We start from the raw sequence: 19,524 nt of genomic DNA, 5'->3' as shown, positions 1-19,524 counted from the left end.
TTCACTCTGCGTAAAGACCGCAGTCCTCTGGAAAGGTGAAAGGGCTAATCCTACTCTAAAGAAGACTCATGCTAAATCAAATGCCTAATATCTCTAACACCCATAACTTACTGAGGGTTTGAACTGCTCCAAAGTAAAACTTACCATTAAGTCTTGTTGTGTTTACATATGGAAGGCCTTTCCTACCACAGATCTCCCAATAGATGAAAAGACTCATCAAGTACAAAAATATGTCATCAGTCTAGGATAGGTGCAAGGCACTCTGTGAATACTGAAATAAGAGGCTTCCCCTCCCACATGGGAGGAAAATTCAGTTTCATGTCAGCTAGGGATTTAATCTTAGTAAAGACGAGGGAGGAAGTTCTCCAGCTGACCAGCTTTCCCCAACGTGGAAAGGACCACAGCAAGGCCACCTGAGCTCCCCAGCAGACGTTCAGCTCCAAGGGACTCACAGGTGGGTACACCTGTGTGGAAGTAAAGCTGTTGCTTATTCTGGGAGCCCAATCCGAGGTTGAGGGAGGCGGGCGAGGGTCTATTTAAATGTTGGCAGAGGGCGGGCTGGGTCGCTGCACATCTGCTCTTCCTTCTCGCATTTCTCCTGCCGCCCTAATCCCGCCTTGGCCATGAGGGAGATTGCGCTCACGCAGACCCGGCAGTGCGGGAAGAAGATCGGTGCCAAGGTTGGCATCCGGGGCTCTGAGGTCCCAGCTCCGGCCTACTGGGTGGCCAGGGAAGATGTTGGCAGTGGCAGTGGCTTGGGCGGTGCCCCTGAATTGCAGCCCCTGGGCTCCCTGCCGGGGACGCAGTGGAACTGGGAGGCTGACTAGTCGGCAGGGGTGGACCCCAGGGACACGGCAGCCTAGGGATGTGGTTGCGGATGAGGGTGGGGGTGGTAGAGGAGCTAGGAGAGGGGCTGGGGCGCCTCCAGCTCCCTGGCCTCCGTGACTCAGCCCTGGTCTGTCTGACCCCACCCAATCTCTTGTAGTTCTGGGGGGTGATCTCTGATGAACATCCCATTGACTCCGCTGGCACCTACCACGGGGAGAGCAACCTGCAGCTGTAGCGCATCAACGTGTACTACAACGAGGCCAGCGGTGAGAACCCAGACCTTCTCCGATCGCCATCCTGGGAACGGCGGCCCTCCCCCTCGCTAATACCCTCCTGTCCCACTCAGGTGGCTGGTACGTGCCCTGCGCTGTGCTCGTGGACCTGGAGCCGGTCACCATGGACTCTCTGCGCTCGGGGCCCTTCGGGCTCATCTTCAGGCCGACAACCTCATCTTTGGTGAGCTGCGAGTGAGGACTGCGGTGCGGCTCCTTAGCCGGAGCAGCTCATCTAGTAGTTCCTGAAGGTCATAGCTGTGGGAATTGTGCAGCCAGGGCCCCTGAACATCCTCCTATTCTCCCAATGGCTCAATCTGCCTCTCCTAAATGGGCTTCGGGAGGAAGCCCCAGGCGTCTCCTCAAGGTGAGGAGCTAGTGTTATAAACTCCCTGCAGGGAGCTGAGCTGGGGCCGTGGCTACTCTCTTCCCTGAAAATAGGTAGGAGCCACCTACAGCGAGGTCTCTTAGCATGTCTGAGTTTTGAGTCCTGACTTAATTTCTAAAAGGGGAGGCTGCTGTCCTGTAACTCTGCGGTACGGGGTTTCATTTGCTCCACCTGAAGGATGAATGGTGCTTTCACCTCACATGTGACACTTGGTCCATTTTGCATTGTGGTGGTGACCACTGATGACCATACACCTGGCACTCAAGTGACTGACTGTACTGTCATACAGGTCAGTGTGGGGCTTGAAACAAGGCCAAGGGGCACTATACAGAAGGTGCGGAGCTGATGGAGTCAGCGATGGACATTGTCTGAAAGCAGTGTGAGAGCTGTGAATGCCTGCAGGGTTTCCAGCTGACCCACTCCCTGGGTAGGGGAACTGCATCTGGGATGGGTACCCTTCTCGTTAGTAAGATCTGGGAGGAGTATTCAGACAGGATCATAAACACATTCAGCATCCTGTCCTCGCCCAAGGTGTCAGACACCATGGTGGAACTCTACAATGCCACCCTGTCAGTCCACCATAGAAACTCATAGAAAATGCAGATAAGACCTTTTGCATAGATAATGAAGCTCTATATGACATCTATTCCAGAACCCTAAAACTGCCCACACCTACCTATGGTGACATGAACCACCTGTTATCTGCTACCATGAGTGGGGTCACCATGTGCCTGGGCTTCCCAGGTCAGCTGAATGCTGACCTACAGAAGCTGTCTGTGAACATGGTCCCATTTCCCAGGCTGCATTTCTTCATGCCTGGCTTTGCCCCACTGACCAGCCGGGGCAGCCAGCATTACCAGGCCCTGACTGTGGCTGAGCTTACTCAGCAGATGTTTTATGCTAAGAATATGATGGCTGCCCCTGTCATGGCTGCTACCTAATGGTGGCTGCCATTTTCAGGGGTTGCATGCCCATGAGGGAGGTGGATGGACAAATGTTCAACATTCAAAATAAAACAGCAGCTACTTTGCTGACTGGCTCCCCCACAACGTAAAAACAGCCATCTGTCACATCCCACCCCAGGGGCTAAAAATGTTGGCCACCTTCATGGGCAACAGCATTGTTATCCAGGAAATCTTCAAGCATGTCTCAGAAGAGATTACAGCAATGTTCAAGTGCAAGGTCTTCCTCCACTGGTACACGGGCGAGGGCTTGGATGAGATGGAGTTCACTGAGGCTGAGAGCAACATGAATGACCTGGTGTCTGAAAATTAGCAGTACCAGGATGCCAAGGCTGAGGAGGAGGAGTTTGAGGAGTGTGCTGAGGAGGAGGTGGCCTAGAGCTTTCCTTTTCTTGGGGAAAGGATGGAAACTATGTGGATTCTTTTTTGTGTTCTGACAGCCCTGTGTCACTACGCAATTGTTCATTTGTGTCTTCTCATCTTCTCCTGATGTATTTTAAAGCATTTTTATAGTATGCGATTTTGCCTACTAAAGTACTCTCATAACATCTGGTTTCACCTCTAACTTCTTTCTTTAGGCTCTCTGGCTACTGCTGCTAGATGCCCTTAGTTGTCCTGCAAGGCTGAAGCTGTCTGGGCTTATCACATGCCCAGTAACAAGCATTCGGCTGGCTCCAGGAGGGGTTGGCATGGGCTGTGGATGTGGCAAGTAGTATTCACATGAACGTATGGATGCCCTGGGACTTGGGCAGCTATGTGATGGGAAACCTGTTCCTGAAGGCAAGCCTTGGCTTATCCCATGTAGCAAACTTCCAGGGGAATAGCTGGCCCTCTGTTTCTGGAACTTTAAAAGTGGTCAGTGACCCTGGTGGACAATGTCCCAAAGTCCTACCTCAGGGTAGGAACGTGGTCAGACAGCTGATTATGAACCAGCATTGAAGGGTGGCAAAGTAGGACCCCAGCCACTCTATCACCATGATGGACTGGGTGTGAACGTGTGTCTTCATTCTCTTAATGAGGTGGGCATGGGGTATCTGGCAGGGACTGTTGGGCAGGAATCAAGTCCAGTGTCTGCTCACATGCACTGAACCCTATGTAGAAGGTTATTAGGTCCTGGGGGCCATAGATGGTGGTTGCTGGGCCTGTGTGCTCGGGGCAGTCTCTCCAAAGGCAAAGATGGGGTTTCTGAACAGGACCTGGGGAGACAGGCAGATGCTCACAAGTGCTGTTTCCCCCATCTGGCAATCAGTGAGAAAAACACACAAGTGGAGGTCTTACCTGCCCCAGTCTGGAGGGCTGATGCTCTCTGGAAAGGTGGTTAATACACACTGTCTGCTGTCTCTCTGTCTCCCACTTCAAAACTTCAGGGCAAAAATAATCCAAGATTGTCAGGATGAGACTGGTGAGGGTGTCACCTTTGGGGATAGGTCCTTTAGCCTGGCAGAGTCTCCACCCCAGGCTTCCTGGGGAGCCTGGACTTCAAAGCCTGCTTTGGGGAAGCTGTCAAGAGATGTGTGTGTGTGAGCTGGGTGCTGGGCAGCCTGACAAGACAGTGCTTTTCTACCTAGCTCTTGTAGAATTTGTCGGTGGCCTGTGTAATTACCTCTTGGTAATTCCCACCCCACCCTCATCACACAGATAAAATGAAGCCAGCATAGCCTGGGGGTCGGCAGATGTACAGGTTCTACCGCAGGAACCCTGGGCATACCCACCTGCCTCAGGTGTGTCAGGGAAAACAGGTGAGGCCCCTTTCTTTTTCTTCATTGAATGTTGGCAATGGCCTTTTGCAGCCAAATGGCAACAGGCAAGCAGGAGAGTGCCTCATCTTGAAAGAAGTGGCTCCTGGAAGCAGCTAGGAGGTGGCAGAGGTCCCCCATACTCCCTTAACCTGTTCTCAGAGCAGGAAAAGGGGCCTCTGTGACAGCCCTCCTCAGTGGCTCTCACTCTCTGAGGGGTGTGCTTGCCCACCCAGGTGTGCCCCCATATGAAATGTTTTTGTGTGGACCTGGTTGGGAAGGTTCAGCTGAAGCAACCACTGGAACCTGCCCACATGTAGTATCTCCAATGACACATGGGATCAGATGGTCCTTCTGAAGTGGTACACCCAGAGTTGCACAGAGGGCGAGTCCCTGCTGCAGTTCCCATCGGGTCTGAATGTGGATTAGGCTTGGTACCCATGTATTTCCCAATTACCTGGTTCCATCTGGGGGCTTCATGGACAGGAGTAGTGCTTTTCCAGGCCTCTTCTCCATATGCCAGCTACAGGCCCAGATTTCCCAAGTATCTGGAGACCCCCTTCCAGCCTGGCAAGCATGGCATGTTGTGGGGGAAGGACATCAAGTCTACAGGCAGCAGAACCTGTCTGGCTAGGTTCTCTACCCCTGGAGGCCCCTGGTTGTTTACCTGTTTGGGTGAGAGTTGGCTTAGGAACTCAACATTCTTGTAGGACTTCAGAACACTATAGACAGGGGCCCAGGAGGGAGCAGGGGCTGGCAGCTAATCAGTGTAGTGGCGGTTGTAGGGCTCAGTTTGGTCTTGCAGGGAATTCAGAGGGCTTGGATTTGCTGAAGCTCTAGACAAGTTTGGGCTTGGATATGGAAACAGCATGGATCAGGGGCCCTTCTGCATGCAGAAGTCTGAGTAGTTACACCCTGGTGCATCCATAAGTGTTTCTCACCTGGAGCACAGCTGTGGGTAGAAGCTGGGAGAGCTGTGGAGGGAAGAGGAGGCAGAACGAGTCTCAGGGCAGCCACAGCAGCCACGCAGGGCCTCTGCAAGTGAGATGCAGATCCAGCCTGTTGGTCACTTAGCAGCTGCTTGGACGGCTGCAGATCACCTGACCTCTGCTCACCAGTAGATGGGGGTTGCATTAGCACTTACCTTCAGGGACTTCTGCAGCTTGAAGGGGAAGCACACACCACAGGATGAGAAAGCACCTGACTCAGGCAAGCTTCTCCAAGAGCACCACATCAGATTAACATCCAACCTGTACAGGACACCATGAAATCTCCCCACCCCTCATTCCAGCTGTAAGAAAAGGGAGTCTTTGTCCTAGGGGAACAAGCACAGGCATACTTATGCAGTGAGCACATGGCCCAAGTTGCGGAAAGGCCCTTGGATGAATGCTGGTTTCACCAACAATCTGTGGGTTGGGTTTGGCCTGGACCCTTGGACCCCAGCAGTCCAGTACCCCCCTGCATGGGACAGGACTGGGAGGTGGGTGGGAGGGCTGAGCTTTGATGGAAGCCATTATTTGGCTTCCTGTCAAGTGGTACAGGTGGTTGTTGGTGGCTCAGTTTTGAAAGACCTGGGTGATCACCCAAGGAGTGAAAATTGCCTTTTTATGAGAAATTACCAAAATTCATGCAAGCTCATCTGTTGAAAAGGTAAGAAATGCTGACAGTTGGCTTCACCTGCCCCTTCCCCACAAGTAACTTGTGTTCAGGGGTGGGTTTTCTTCCTTCCCAGACTTTCCCCTTTGCATGTAACTGTGTGCATGTACTTTGGCATGTACACACACACTTTCCCTGGAGGGGTTACTTTTATTTTTTTATTTGGGGGGATAACAAGTGAGTCAGCCTGACACTTGCTTATTTGGTCTTTTAAGTGTGGAGTCCTCTACGGAGTGGGCATCAGGTACTTACTAGCTGGCCTCTGCCAGCTGTTTGGCTGCCCCGGTTTCTGCCCTTCACAGAAATGCTGGCCACCTGGTGTGACATTCAGTTTCCTTGTTTGCAGCTAGTATGAGACAAGTGGATCAGGGACATTATAAACTGAAAAAGCGCACAACATGCAGAGGGAAAAAATAAATGACCATGTGTGTACTGAGATGACAAACATTGTTTTTGCCTAACATTTGGGCCCTGAGAAAGGGCATTTATGTTTTACTTTTTATTTAAAACAGAGATAGAAGAAATATTACCAGGCTTTCTTTTCCATTATCCCCAAATCCCAAATCCTACTTTACCCCCTCAAGTTTACCTACCTCTGAGAGAAAGAGGAGCTCGCCTGGTTAATGAGAGCCTGAAATAATTGAACCGGGTCACAGGGTAAAGGTCATACTGCTTCTGTCTCCTTGTGAATCACTTGCTCATCTCAGATATTTCATAGCTCCCTGTATAAAGGTAGATGTGTTATCCTCCTAGCCTGCTTTCTTGGTTTGATACATGCCTGAGAGCACGTGAGAGCACTTAAGGTCTAGGCTGATTGGAGGACTGTTCTGCCCACCCCATCTCATCTATCCAGCTCAGCCTGCATGCATGCATTCCCTCATCTGATTTCTGAGTAGGGGATGGGAGGTCTCACATTGACCTCAAGTTTCTGTGACTTTTTCCACCTCTGTTTTCCAAGGCAGCCTCTGCTGTGGGACTTGTAATGAGATTTGTGAAGTCAGTATCTACTTTTCTTGTGTGGGTGTTTTATAAAGTAAAGCCCTGGAGGGGAATAAATGTTAAAGGTACAACAAACCCCTAACCTATAAACATCTAAGCCTGACCCTTTTTTGGTGGTAAAATATATATAACATAAAACTTACTATTTTTTCCATGTTTAAATGCACAGTTCAGTATATTCACAGTGTTGTAAAACCATCTCCTTAATCCGTATCTACAACTTCTTTATCGTCCTAAACTGAAAGACTATACCCATAAATAAGTCTTTGAATAGAAGACTGATGCAGTTGACTCCATAAAAATTCAAACTTTCTATGAGAGAAAAATACTTCAAATGACTCATAGACTGTGGAAATAGATCTGCAACATACGTGACAGACAAAAAGCTAATTTACGTAATATATATATATCCTAAATTATTAAAAGACTAGCAGTCAAATTGAAAAATGGACAAGGGATGTAAAGAAACAGTTCAAAGCAACACATAGATTTTTAAATATTTGCTAATTTTTTACTGTGGTAAAATATGTGTAATAGAAAATTTAAGTACATTAGGTACAAATACATTGCTGTGCAACTATCACCGCTATCCATTTTCAAATCTGTTTTATCATCCCAAAGTGAAACACTGTATCCACAGAACAATAGCTCCCGTTTCCCTTCCCCCTATCCCCTGGAAACCACATCCCACTTCCTGTGTCTATGAATTTAACCGTTGTAGGTTTGTTATAAAAGTGAAAAGCATGGAGTATTTGCATTTTTTGTTTTAATCTTTTCAAGGTTTATGTTGTAGGATGTATTAAAATTTCTTTTCTTTTTAATGCTGAATAATATGTCATTGTGTGTATGGCTCACATTTGCTTATCCATTCATCTGTAGATGGACCTTTGGGCTTTTTCTACCCTTTGGCTATTCTGAATGCTGCTACGAACATGGGTGTTCAAATTCCCACTTTCAGTTTTCTGGGGTATAGGCCCAGATGTCGAATTACTGGATCACATAGTGATTACTGTTTTCCACAGTGGCTGTGCCATCTTACTTTCCCACCAGCAGAGTGCAGGAGTCCTGACTTCTCCACATCCAGCATTTGCTGCTTTCTGGAGCTTTGTTGTTTGTTTTAGTTTGCTGCTGGTGGTTTTTTTGATGGTAGCTATACTTACATGTGTCAGTTGGTATGACATTGTGGTTTGGATTTACTTTTTTCTCATGATTACTGATGCTGGGCTCCTTATACTGTGCTTACTGGTCATTTGTATATCTTCTTTAAAGAAATGTGTATTTTAAAACCTTTGCTCATGTTTAAATTTGATTGTTTTGTTGTTGTTTCTGAGGTCTTTATATAGCCTGGATATTAATTACTTGTGAAATACATAAATGTGTGAATATTTTCTCCCCCTCCGTGAATTGTATTTTCAATCTATTGATTGTATCTCAGATACACAAAAGCTTTTCACTATGATGAAGTTATTTTTGTGTATTGTTGTTTTTGTTGTTGTCTATGCTTTCACTGACATATCCAAGAAATTATTGCCAGATTCTATGTTATGAAACTCTTTTCCTATGTTTTTTTCTAAGGGTTTTATAGTTTCAGCACTTACAATTAGATGTTTGGTCTATTTTAAATTAAGTTTTTTATGTGGTGTAAAGTAAGGGTTGAACTTCGTTGTTTTTCATGTAAATATTCATTTGTTAACACCGTTTTTAAAATACTGTCCTTTCCCATTGAATAGTTTTGACTACCTTGTTAAAAATCATGACCATATGTTTTGGTTCTTTATTTCTATTGCATTGGTCTTTCTGTCTGTCTCTATGCCGGTACAACATTGTCTTGGGTACTGAAGCGTTGCAGTAAGTTTGAAACCAGGAGGTGTTAGTCCTCTAATTTTGTTAGTTTTTAAGATTGATTTGGCTACTTGGGGTTTTTTGAAATCTCATCTGAATTTTAGAACAGGTTTTTCTATTTTTGCAAATATTGGAATTTTTATAGTGATTTTATTGAATTCATGGATGACTATTGATAACAATGGCATCTTGACAAGGTTTTGTCTTCCAATCCATAATAAACACATGACGTCTTTTCATTTATTTGTATCATCTTTAATATTTTTCTGCAATGTTTATAGTTTTTGCTGTACAGGTTTTTCATTTCCTTGGTTAAGTTTGTTCCTAATATGTTATTGTTTTGATGCTATCATAAATTATACTGTTGTCTTGATTTCTTCTTCACATAGTTTATTATTATTGCAGAAATACAACTAATTTGTGTGTATTGATTTTCTATCCTGCAGTTTTGCTGAATTTTATTTACTGCATCTGACAGTTTAACTCACAGAAACTAGAAGATTTTTAACATATAAGATTATGTCATCTGCGAACAGATAATTTTACTTTTTCAAAAATTGGAATATCTTTCACTCTTTTACTTGCCTTTTTGTTTTAACTAATTAGAATCTTCAGTACTATATTAAATAGAAGTAGTGAAAACAGGCATCCTTGTTTTTGCTCTTAGAGTAAAATCTGTCAGTCTTTCACCATAAGGTTAGCTGTGTGTGTGTGTGTGTGTGTGTGTGTGTGTGTGTGTGTGTGTGTGCATTTTTTAATATAACATTACATCGATATTTTATTTATTTTTATAGCTTATTAAGTATATTTTTATGATTGTGGGTTAAATTTTGACAAATTCTTTTATTTGATTAAAATGATCACATGAGGGTTTTTTCCTTCTTTATGTTAATGTGATATTAAACTGATTTTCATGTGTTGGAACATAATTTTATTTCAGGAGTCAACTATACTCATTCATAGTGTGTAATCCTTTTAATGTACTGATAAATTTCAATTGCTGGTATTTTGTTGAGGATTTTTGAATCAGCATTTGTAAGGGATGTTTGTAGTTTTCTTATAGTGTCTTTTTCTGGCTTGGTGTCAGGGTAATTCTAGCCTCATAGAATAAGTTAGAAAATGTTACCTCCTCTTCAACGTTTTGAAAAAGCTTGAGAAAAACTGGTGTTAATTCTGCATTAAATGTTGGGTAGAATTCAACAGTGAAGCCGTCTGGTCCAGGCTTTTCTTTGTTGCTGGGTTTTTGATTACTGATGCAGTCTTCTTGCGGAATCTCCTTTCTGAATAGGTTTATTCAACTTTTCATATTCAGTCTTAGTGGGTTTTTTGTTTCTAGGAATTTGTTCGTTTTATTTATGTTATTCAATTTTTAAGTGTACAGTTTCTTATGGTACCCTCCTACATTCTTTTTTTACTCCAAAAATTTGGTAGTAATGAATCCATTTTATTTTTGAGTTTTGTAATTTGAGTATTCTTTTTTTCTTAGTCAATCTAGTTAAAGGTTTGTCAGTTTTGTTGAACTTTTTCAGAGAACAAACTTGGTTTTGTTGTATTTTGATATTTTTCTATTCTCTTTCACTTATTTCCACTGCTATCTTTATCATTTTTTATTTTGCTAGCTTTTAGTTGTTCCCTCTTTTTCCCTCTGTTTTTAGTTCATTAGCTATATAGTTAAGTTGTTGATTTGATATCTTACTTTTTATAATCATTTATAACTATAAATTTTTCTCTTATGCTACTGCTTTTGATGTATGTCTTAACTTTTGGTATTTCATATTTTTAATTTGTCTCTAGATATTTTCTGTTTTCTCTTGTGATTTATTCTTCTATCCATCCTTGAGTGTTTAATACCTGTATTTTTAGACATAAAATGTGTAACCCACAGAATTTTCTTGATTTGTTACAATTTTGTTTGTTGTAAATTTTTGTTTCAGACTTAAATGTGTGTATCAGCATTTGTTATGTTCTCATAAACTTTGTAATACATGAAGATTCCTGGTCCACATATGCAAGCCTCTACATGAATATTATTTTGAAGCATTATCCTTCTATTTTAATATTCCAAATGTCTATATGAAATTGAGATCTTGGTTTCTGAGATGAAATCATGATAGGTGACTGAGAAATCCTTAAAAATTAGCCAAAACTTAAAATTAAGTTACAGTTTACCTTCAAGATTCAACCTGAGTCACTCTGTATTGCTGGTAATAAAAAAATAAGTCTTTAATGGAATAAAAGCAAATTTCAGAGAATGTTTTTTTCCCCCTCGTTGACATTGAAATTAAAAGCCATAAAAAACTTTATGGCCTTAGGCACTGTTTACTTTAGAATTCCAACTTTTCCTAGTTAAAATTTTTCTAAACAGATTCCTGTGAATTTGAAAGAAATAATTTTTTAGTTGAAATGCTTAAGCATATTTAAGAAGTTAAAGCTGTTGTGCTTATTCTTGCCTTAAATAGTTTATGTAATGTAACTACATTTTAAAAGTTTCATTGTTAAGTTTCTCTAAACTTTGGTTAAGAAGCAGAAAGCATTACATGAGATTTTTGACATATGCTTTCAAGAAATCTCTTTTAAAAATGTTAAAGGAAGAACTGTTTAACATAAAAATGAATCTTTATGTGTTTGCATAATTTGAAAAAGTACGGCCCACAGCTTTTTTAATGCCCAAGAACGACACATATTTTCCTTTAGTAATATGAGGATAATAATTGTAGTTACCATGAGTGTTATGCCACATGACATGCAAAATTCTTTATGTATATTCATCTTCTAATCTTCAGAATTGTCTAATAAGTTTGACAAATTTATTATCTCCATTTTTATAACCATTATTCTTGATTCATTATACACCCTCATCAGTTTTCTGTGCTTGATTCTTTATGTATGTTTAGTTTGTTCATGTGCTTTTATTTCTAATAAACATTTAGAAATTAGAAATTTGAAAACTGAGATTTAAAAGTGGAATAAATTGTCCATGGGACACCCAGCTACGAGACACAGAGCCAGGATAAAAACTGGCATCTGTCTGACTCTAAAACCTGCAATGTTAACCACTGTAATCCCAGACAAACTTCCTTGATCATTCTACATGAATTAATGTATCTGTCTCTTTCTTCTCTCATTCTTCTTTTTTGTTCTTAGTACTCATTACAACTTGACGTGCACATGTAGATTTTTGTTTATAGAGATGGGGGTCTTTCTCTGATAATCATACACGTATATTTTTAATTTGCTATCTTTCTCTCTTGCTGTTTCATTCAATGTTCTCCTAAAACAATTACAGGCATTTGTACTGGTCTGTATGTATTGGTTGATACTTAAATAAATGAATGAAATTAGTGTATTCTGTACAGCATTAGTGCATATATTATTAAAGCTGTTATAGATTTTGTGTTTTCCTCTCTTTAAATTTTTCTTTCTATATTGCAGCACTCCCCAGTCTTTTCAGCACTAGGGACTAGTTTCGTGGAAGACAACTTATCCATGGACTGGGCAGGGGGACAGTTTCAGGATGACTCAAGCACATTACGTTTATTTCATACTTTATTATATTGCATTGTAATATATAATGAAATAATTATACAACTCACTGTAATGTAGAATCAGTGAGAGCCCTGAGCTAGTTTTCCTGCAACTAGTCAGTTCCATTTGACGGTGATGGGAGACTGTGACACTCAAAATGTGGTGCTTATGTCCAGTCTACTTCATAATTTTGTTTTGATTGCTGTCACTGGAAAAAAACTCTGCTTCAGAAAGACAGGATTTTGGAAATGGAAGCAGGAGTTTCAGTGATACTGTTAACAAAGAGATGTCAACGCTGCTATGGAGAAGAACAGCAATGGCTTCACTATCCTTAAATTTTACATAACATTTGCTATTATAGGTTCTTCTCCCTGTTCTTATTTTTTCCTGATATCTCTCCTCTTAAATGGTACATATAATCCTGTTATTTTATTTCAAAATTTTTAATGCTTTTCAATACCTGCAGGTCTTTACTGAATACTTCTATAATCATTTAACTCTAATTCTATTTCAATAGCTAAGCTGCCCATTTGATATTTCCATTGGTTATTATACCTATCACAAACTTGATAAATCTGAAATTTGGTTCTATAGATAATTTTCTTGTAATAGTTTAAATATACATTCAAAAATTATTTGAAACTCTTCAAAAAGTATGAAGGATCTTCAAAAAGTTCATGAGAAATGCATATTGAGAATAAATTCTGCATAGACTTCAAAAATATTTTGCAACTAAATAAACTTTTACTAACTTTGTTATAACATGTCTGAACAGGATCTAATTTGGGGAATTATAATAAGGAAACTAAGACACCAATTTGAAAAGAGATCGTATTAGAGCAGCATGAATTCTACTAAAATTAAAGCAAGAAAAAACATCAAATTTATGGCCATTTTGGGTGAAAGAATAGTAAAATAACTAATTCTTTATAACAATTTATGGGGACAATGCCCCCCGACATTCACAAGCATACAAATGAATAACTCATTTTAAGAAGGGATGATTAGGTGTTGAAGATAAAGCCCACAGTGGAAGACAATTCACATTAACTCACCAGAAAAGAAATTAATCTTGTTCATGCCGTGCTTTAGGAGTGACAACGGTATAAACAACAGTTTAGGAATGACAACGGTATAAACAACAGTCAACACCATGGCCATCTCTTAAATTCACACAATTTTGAGAATTTTTCCACTCAATAGATTAGAAAACTCTTGTTCCTAGATCAGCTGCAGACAAGAACAGAGCTTTCAACTGAAATTGTACATAAATGTTATTAAGATCTTGAGGCATTTCTTCAAATAATTGTGTGAGGAAGTCAAACACAGCTGTTCCATGAAATTTTCAACATAAAACAGAAATAAAGCAACGGCTACCAAGAAGTGAAAGTGGTCCAGTCTCAGCAAAAGGTTACTGGTCTAGAACAAAGCTCATAGCAACAGTGTCAGGGTGCTCAAGGCATTTTGCCTGTTGGCTTTCTAGAGGGCCAAAAACAAAACAAAACAATACATAATGCAATAAAACATGCTATTATGGAGTATTTTGAGACAGTTACCCAAAGCGTTAGGGGAAATATTTCCAGAAAATTTTACCATAGAATTCTTCACCACCACAACAATGTTCCTCCTCTTTCCTCTCATTAAAAAAAATCAAAGGACAATTTTGCTGGACTTGCCATGGAAAATTATTAAGCATCCACCTTTTAACCCTGATTTGGCTCCCTCCAACTTCTTTTTCTCTTCTGATTTTAAAACAGCTTTAAAAGACACCCATTTTCTACAGTTAATAATGTAAAAGAGACTTTCCTGACATTGTTAAATTCCCAGGACCTTACTTTTTGTGGGGATAGACTGAAGGCTGGTATTATTGCTTATAAAAGTGTCTTGAACTTGACTTGATGAAGCTAATGTTGAGAAATAAAGTTTATATATTTTATTTTTGTGTTTTACTTTCATTTTTTCACAAACTTATTGAAGTCCTTTCATAGACCCTAATTCTTTTCTTCTTGAAGGTATGTCAAGCTTAAAAATCCTTTCTGGTGAATAGAAGGTGACAGAAGTGTCCATGTGTGACTTCTGAGTCTAGGTCATAAAAGATTTTGCCACTAATGCATTGTTTTTCCTAAGCCACTCTCTCTGAAAGAAACCAGCCACTATTTGGTGAGAACAGTCAATCATCCCTACAAAAATATCTATGTGGAGAGAACCTGAGACCTTCAATTAAAAACCCCACCAACTTGCAGGCCATGAATGTTAGCAAAGTTGAAAGTGGATCTTCTAGTTGCTGTCAAGAGTTTGGATGACAGCCCCAATTGAAATCTGACTGTAACCACATGAGATGGCCTGGGGCACAACCACCAGGATAATTGTTCTTGAATTTCTCATCTACAGAAATTCAGGTAATAAATATTGTGATTTTATGCCATAAAGTTTTGGGGTTACATGTTATGAAACAATACATAGCAACTTCACTCTTTCAACATCCATTTTATTTTTTATACAACCATGCATTTTTAATAATGAGGATATATATTGAGAAATGCACCATTGTGTAGTATTATTACTGTGTGAACATCATAGAATGTACTTACACAAACCTAGGTGGTATAGCCCATTGGAGACCTAGACTATATGGTATAGCCTATTGCTCCTAAACTACAAACCTGGACAGCATGTTACTATGCTGAATACTGTAAGCAATTGTAACACTATAGTCAACATTTGTATACATAAACATAAAAGGCACAGCAAATTTATGTTATAAAAGATTTAAAAAATGGTATATTTGAATAAGGCACTTACCTCAGGTGGTCTGCTAATTTTCATGGTCACATGAAGATTCCACTGAAATATATTCTGAACTACCCACTGCCATAGGTGGCAGCCTTGACTATGTGCACCACCCATGAAGGTCGCCTTTCCCTTGCTTTTCCTGACTTTTCAAGTGCATGATTATGTGCTAAGTCATCACAAGAGCTGAACTCTGTTCTCTTTCTGTTGGGTTCTGCAGCTATTTATTATCAGTTTGGTACCTAGATTTTGTAGACCCTATTTCGTTGACATTCTTGGTAGAATCAGGCCATCTTCATCCCATTGTGCTATCCTTGTGTTACTGTCATGTATTATAATGTGTAAAGTCATTTTTTTTAAGAACAATCTGAGGGTAGACCATAGGCATAGGACCTTTGTGCCTATTGTTTCAGCCAACCTCACAGAGAGAACAGTTAGTGGTTTTCCCTTGATCAGCATTAATTTGGATAAACGTTGCTGTCAGTTACTGTGAAACTGGTTACATTTTCCTTTCACTTTTTTTCATCTTAAGAAAACATCTTTAATCCATACAGCATGTTTTCTCTTGTTTTATACCCACTGGAGTCATAGGCATTTTTCTGCTTTAAGTTATGGCCAACCATTGGATTAGGGCTGAGACATTAGGTGCACAGGATTACACACAAACTGTTCTCCAAATACTCTTCATTTTAGGATAAAAGTATTGGTACTTATATATACTTTAATTACAATTCTTACACTTATTTCTCTGAATACCATTAGTTCAATGATTATTTGAACCTTTAATGACCACATTAATGAATGTTGACGAGACAAACATTCTTCCTTTGAGAGGCACTTTAGAAAGACAAAGAATCTTCAGGTCCAATGGGAAGTATTTCTAGTTGGTACATATAATGAGCCAAGAAGACTGTACACATAATTATGAATGAGACATTGCTCCACGAAAATATTCTATTGCTAAAGATGTCTAAAGATGAAAAATTTACAATCAGAAGCAACAAAAACCAGACACATTTTTTAGTAAATGTGTCTCCTCCTTGTCCTTCTGTTGCCTCCTTGCATGTTGCTCTCCCTCCTGCCCCTTATGATTCTAATATCTCATCTTTTGCCCAACTATTGACTTCTCCTTCTAGTTTTTTAATATGAAATTATTTTCTGAGCTGTCACACATTCCCAAATTGTTTGTTTCACCTAAGTATCCACCTTTCCCATGACCCAGATTGGTAAGCAACTGCAGAATTCAAATCTAGTGCATGAGTTCAGAGTTGCACATGAACTAACAAGTTATAATTAACGATTTTTAAAAACTAAACAAGAAAATTAAATATTCATCAAATAATTTAGAATTATTTAGGGCACATATGGCTTAGGGTTACTTGACATATCAACTTGTACACCTGTTAGATGGAACATCAGATGCTAAATCCTGGATGACAAAATGTGATTGGCCTGACCTGCTAGGAAACTTGTAGAATTCCTCTTTCCAAAATATCAGGGTCAAAATCATTCATAAAAACAATAATACAATTATTAAACTATAGAAGATTTGTAGATAGAATATAAAATTTTTTGTCACAACTCAGTTAAAACAGGTTTTTCTGAAGATCAATATTTATGTAAAAGTTATAAAACATAAAATAATAATAGGGATAATTACATAATAAAAGCTATCACAAATACTGAACAGAAGACTTCAGAAATTATACTAATTTTGCCATTTATATTTTACTATCAACTATAATTATTGTTTTTCTTAAAAGAAATAAATATACCATTATGAGGTGATCAGAAGCAGACAAGGAGGTTAGACATTTCCTCATTTATTCACTCAGCGACCCTGTCACAGAACTAAATCTGTGCTAAGTGCCATGATGGGCCCAGCATGTGGTGCTGAGAAATGATTGAGTGGCCCTTTCCCCAACTCAAGAAGCCTGCAGTCTGAGGATATATGGACAAAAACCCTAAAGCAAGTACAAGTAAATGAAGAGTAAATGCTATAATTAAAATAAAGTAGGATGTTGAAAGGCAGGGCGGGGAGCCATAGCATTCTAGGGACCCAAATGCCTCTCTGTGGCAACAGATGACCAGCCCTGCACAACTCTGGGGATACAGTGTCAGTGAGATGCCACTCCTGGTGCAGAGAAATGCAGGCAGAAGTGACTTTGGCAGAGGATGAGAGAAAGAGGCCGGCAGGGCTAGAGGGAGCCTGGGGAAGAGAAAAGGAGAGGGAAGGAGGACTCTGGGACCTAGAAGAATAAGACAGTGATCTGCTTCTCTCTGACAACATTCTCCCCAAACTTAGCATCTTTAACAACAAATTCTTACTATCTCACAATTTATGTGGACCAGAATCTGGACACAGCTTTGCTGGTTGCCTGCACATGGGGCTCCATGAAGCTGGGGCTGTGCTCTCAGCTGAAGCTGAGCTGTGAGAGGATTAGATTCCAAGCACACTCATATGGGTATTGTCCAGATTCAGTGTAGACTGAGAGCCTGAGTGTTTCCTGGGGCCTGGGCACTCCCTCATTCTCTGTTGTGTAGGCCACTGCATAGGCAGCTCATAACTCTGGATCTTGTTTTCTGAACTTGAGGGATGCAGTAGAAAGACAGGGAAATAAATACACATTGAAAGAGAAAGAGAAAGACATTGGCAGAAAATGGGAGAGAAAACAATGGGCAGAGTAAGTAGAAGAATGAGAGAAATAGATTGAGGGACAAAACACAGAAGAAAGAGACGAGGAGAAAATGAGGTGAAAGCCTCAGGAACAGTATTACTGGCTCTATAAACAAAACAAAACAAAACACAACAAAAAACCCAGAGAACTCCATCCTCCACTATCTGTCAGGCAAATATAGAATGTAAAGACTACAGTCTGAAACTCAGAAGAGAGAGTTCTCACTAGAGCTCGACCATGCTGGCATTCTGATCTTCAACTTCTGTCCTCCAGAACTGTGAGAAAGAACATTGAAGAACATTGTACTGTTGATAAGCGGCTCATTCTATCTTTGCTGTAACAGCCAATCTAAGACAGAAATGTTATCATATCACATTTATTGCATTCCATTTGTCAGAAGTGAGCTGCAGACCCCTTAGTGTTATGAGCCTTCCTATAGTCTGCCAACCACATAGGCCAAAATGAGGGACATGGGTCTGATTCTGAATATAATGAGAAGGCTCTAAAAAGAATAATGTCAGAGGATGACAACATGTGAATTTCATTTCACCTCAAATTCTTACTAGTGTAGAATGAAAAATGAGGCTGAGAGGGGAAGCGACTTTCCAATATCACAGTGCTGGACACAGGCCTGCTTGTGTTGTATTCTATGTTACCTCCCATTCCTTCTTATAATTATTTTATCTCTAAATGCGTGCATTGTCTACATGGGATGCCACACCATGAGTTTTACAGGTCTTATCTCATACACACCCGATGAGTTCCCTAGGGAGATGCTGGCATATTACCCACTGTACAGGTTGAAAGGCCCCAAAACCTACAATAACTTTTCTAGTGTCACAGAACTAATAAGAAATACTAGGTTCTTACCCAGATCTATGACCTCAAACCTGAGACCCTGGCTTCATTCAGGTCTTTTCAGGGAAGTGAGGAGGGCTGTTCTTGCATAATTGTGCACAGCTAAAGAGTTGACACGCAGGGATAGTGAGCAGTCAGTAGCCCAGAAGGTCATTTTAGATGGGTTTTATGGAGGAAAGCAAGGAGCCAGAGGATGAAACTTTGAAAAAGTGATCTTACTTCCTTTGTGACAGACCCCAACAGAACTTAGAACTCTGGTAACCAAGCACCTACATCCTAGAGACAACCCTGTGCCCAGGTCACTCATGGAAAATGTTTAACAGAGCACAATATGCTCCTGGTAGATCCCAATACTCTTAGGCTCTTGATTCAGGAAGGCCTAAAGTGAAAACCTTTTCTGAGATGCTGACATTGGCTTATTCCACACACCAGATGTCTCTGGAAATTTTGTAGGGGTTGCCCAGAGATAACAAACACTAAGCTTAGGGCAAGCCCCTCCAGGCTGGGTCTCACCAGTGCTTTCATTTACCTTGCATTAGAATGTATGGAAAAAACAGGAATTTAAAATAGCAAAGATTGACCCAAACTACTTTTTTATTAGATTCCCTAAGGTTCTGTATTGGTGTTGTTGTTGTTTTGTTTCTTTGTTTGAGACAAGACCTAACTCTCACTCAGGCTGGAGTTCAGTGGCACAATCACAGCTCACTGTAGCCTAGATCTCCTGAGCTCGAGCAATTCTCTCACCTCAGCCTCCCAAGTAGCCGAGAGACTACTGGTGCACACCACCACACCTGGCTAATATATATATATATATATTATTTTTAGCAGAGATGAGGTCTCATTGTGTTGCCCAGGTCTGTCTTGAACTCCTGAACTCAAGCAATCCTCAATTTTTGATACATAAATATGCTAGGTGTAGGATTCTTAGTCGAGAGCTTTATTTTTTTTTTCTGTGAGCAGTGACCAAGGAAAGTTTCAAAAGAAGAAATA

General features: G+C 40.6%; 1 long non-coding RNA gene and 1 pseudogene across 1 annotated transcript; one reads left to right on the top strand and one right to left on the bottom strand.

The window, feature by feature from the left end:
* TUBB1P2 (tubulin beta 1 class VI pseudogene 2) lies at window positions 231-3,066 on the top strand (annotated as a pseudogene).
* FAM41AY1 (family with sequence similarity 41 member A, Y-linked 1) lies at window positions 2,920-18,704 on the bottom strand. Its single transcript, NR_028083.1, has 10 exons — window positions 18,547-18,704; window positions 17,902-17,951; window positions 6,436-6,564; window positions 6,095-6,188; window positions 5,331-5,501; window positions 5,128-5,221; window positions 4,644-4,853; window positions 4,163-4,350; window positions 3,729-3,950; window positions 2,920-3,646 (listed from the first exon to the last, which is right to left on the bottom strand). It is a non-coding gene; the product is annotated as a family with sequence similarity 41 member A, Y-linked 1 (long non-coding RNA).
* Between the last annotated feature and the right edge of the window lie 820 nt (window positions 18,705-19,524).

Source organism: Homo sapiens, chromosome Y (assembly GCF_000001405.40).
Source record: "Homo sapiens chromosome Y, GRCh38.p14 Primary Assembly".
In the NCBI taxonomy this organism is placed as follows: domain Eukaryota; kingdom Metazoa; phylum Chordata; class Mammalia; order Primates; family Hominidae; genus Homo; species Homo sapiens.
Note: the sequence above shows the minus strand (reverse complement) of the source record. Positions and strands in the feature narration are given on the sequence as shown.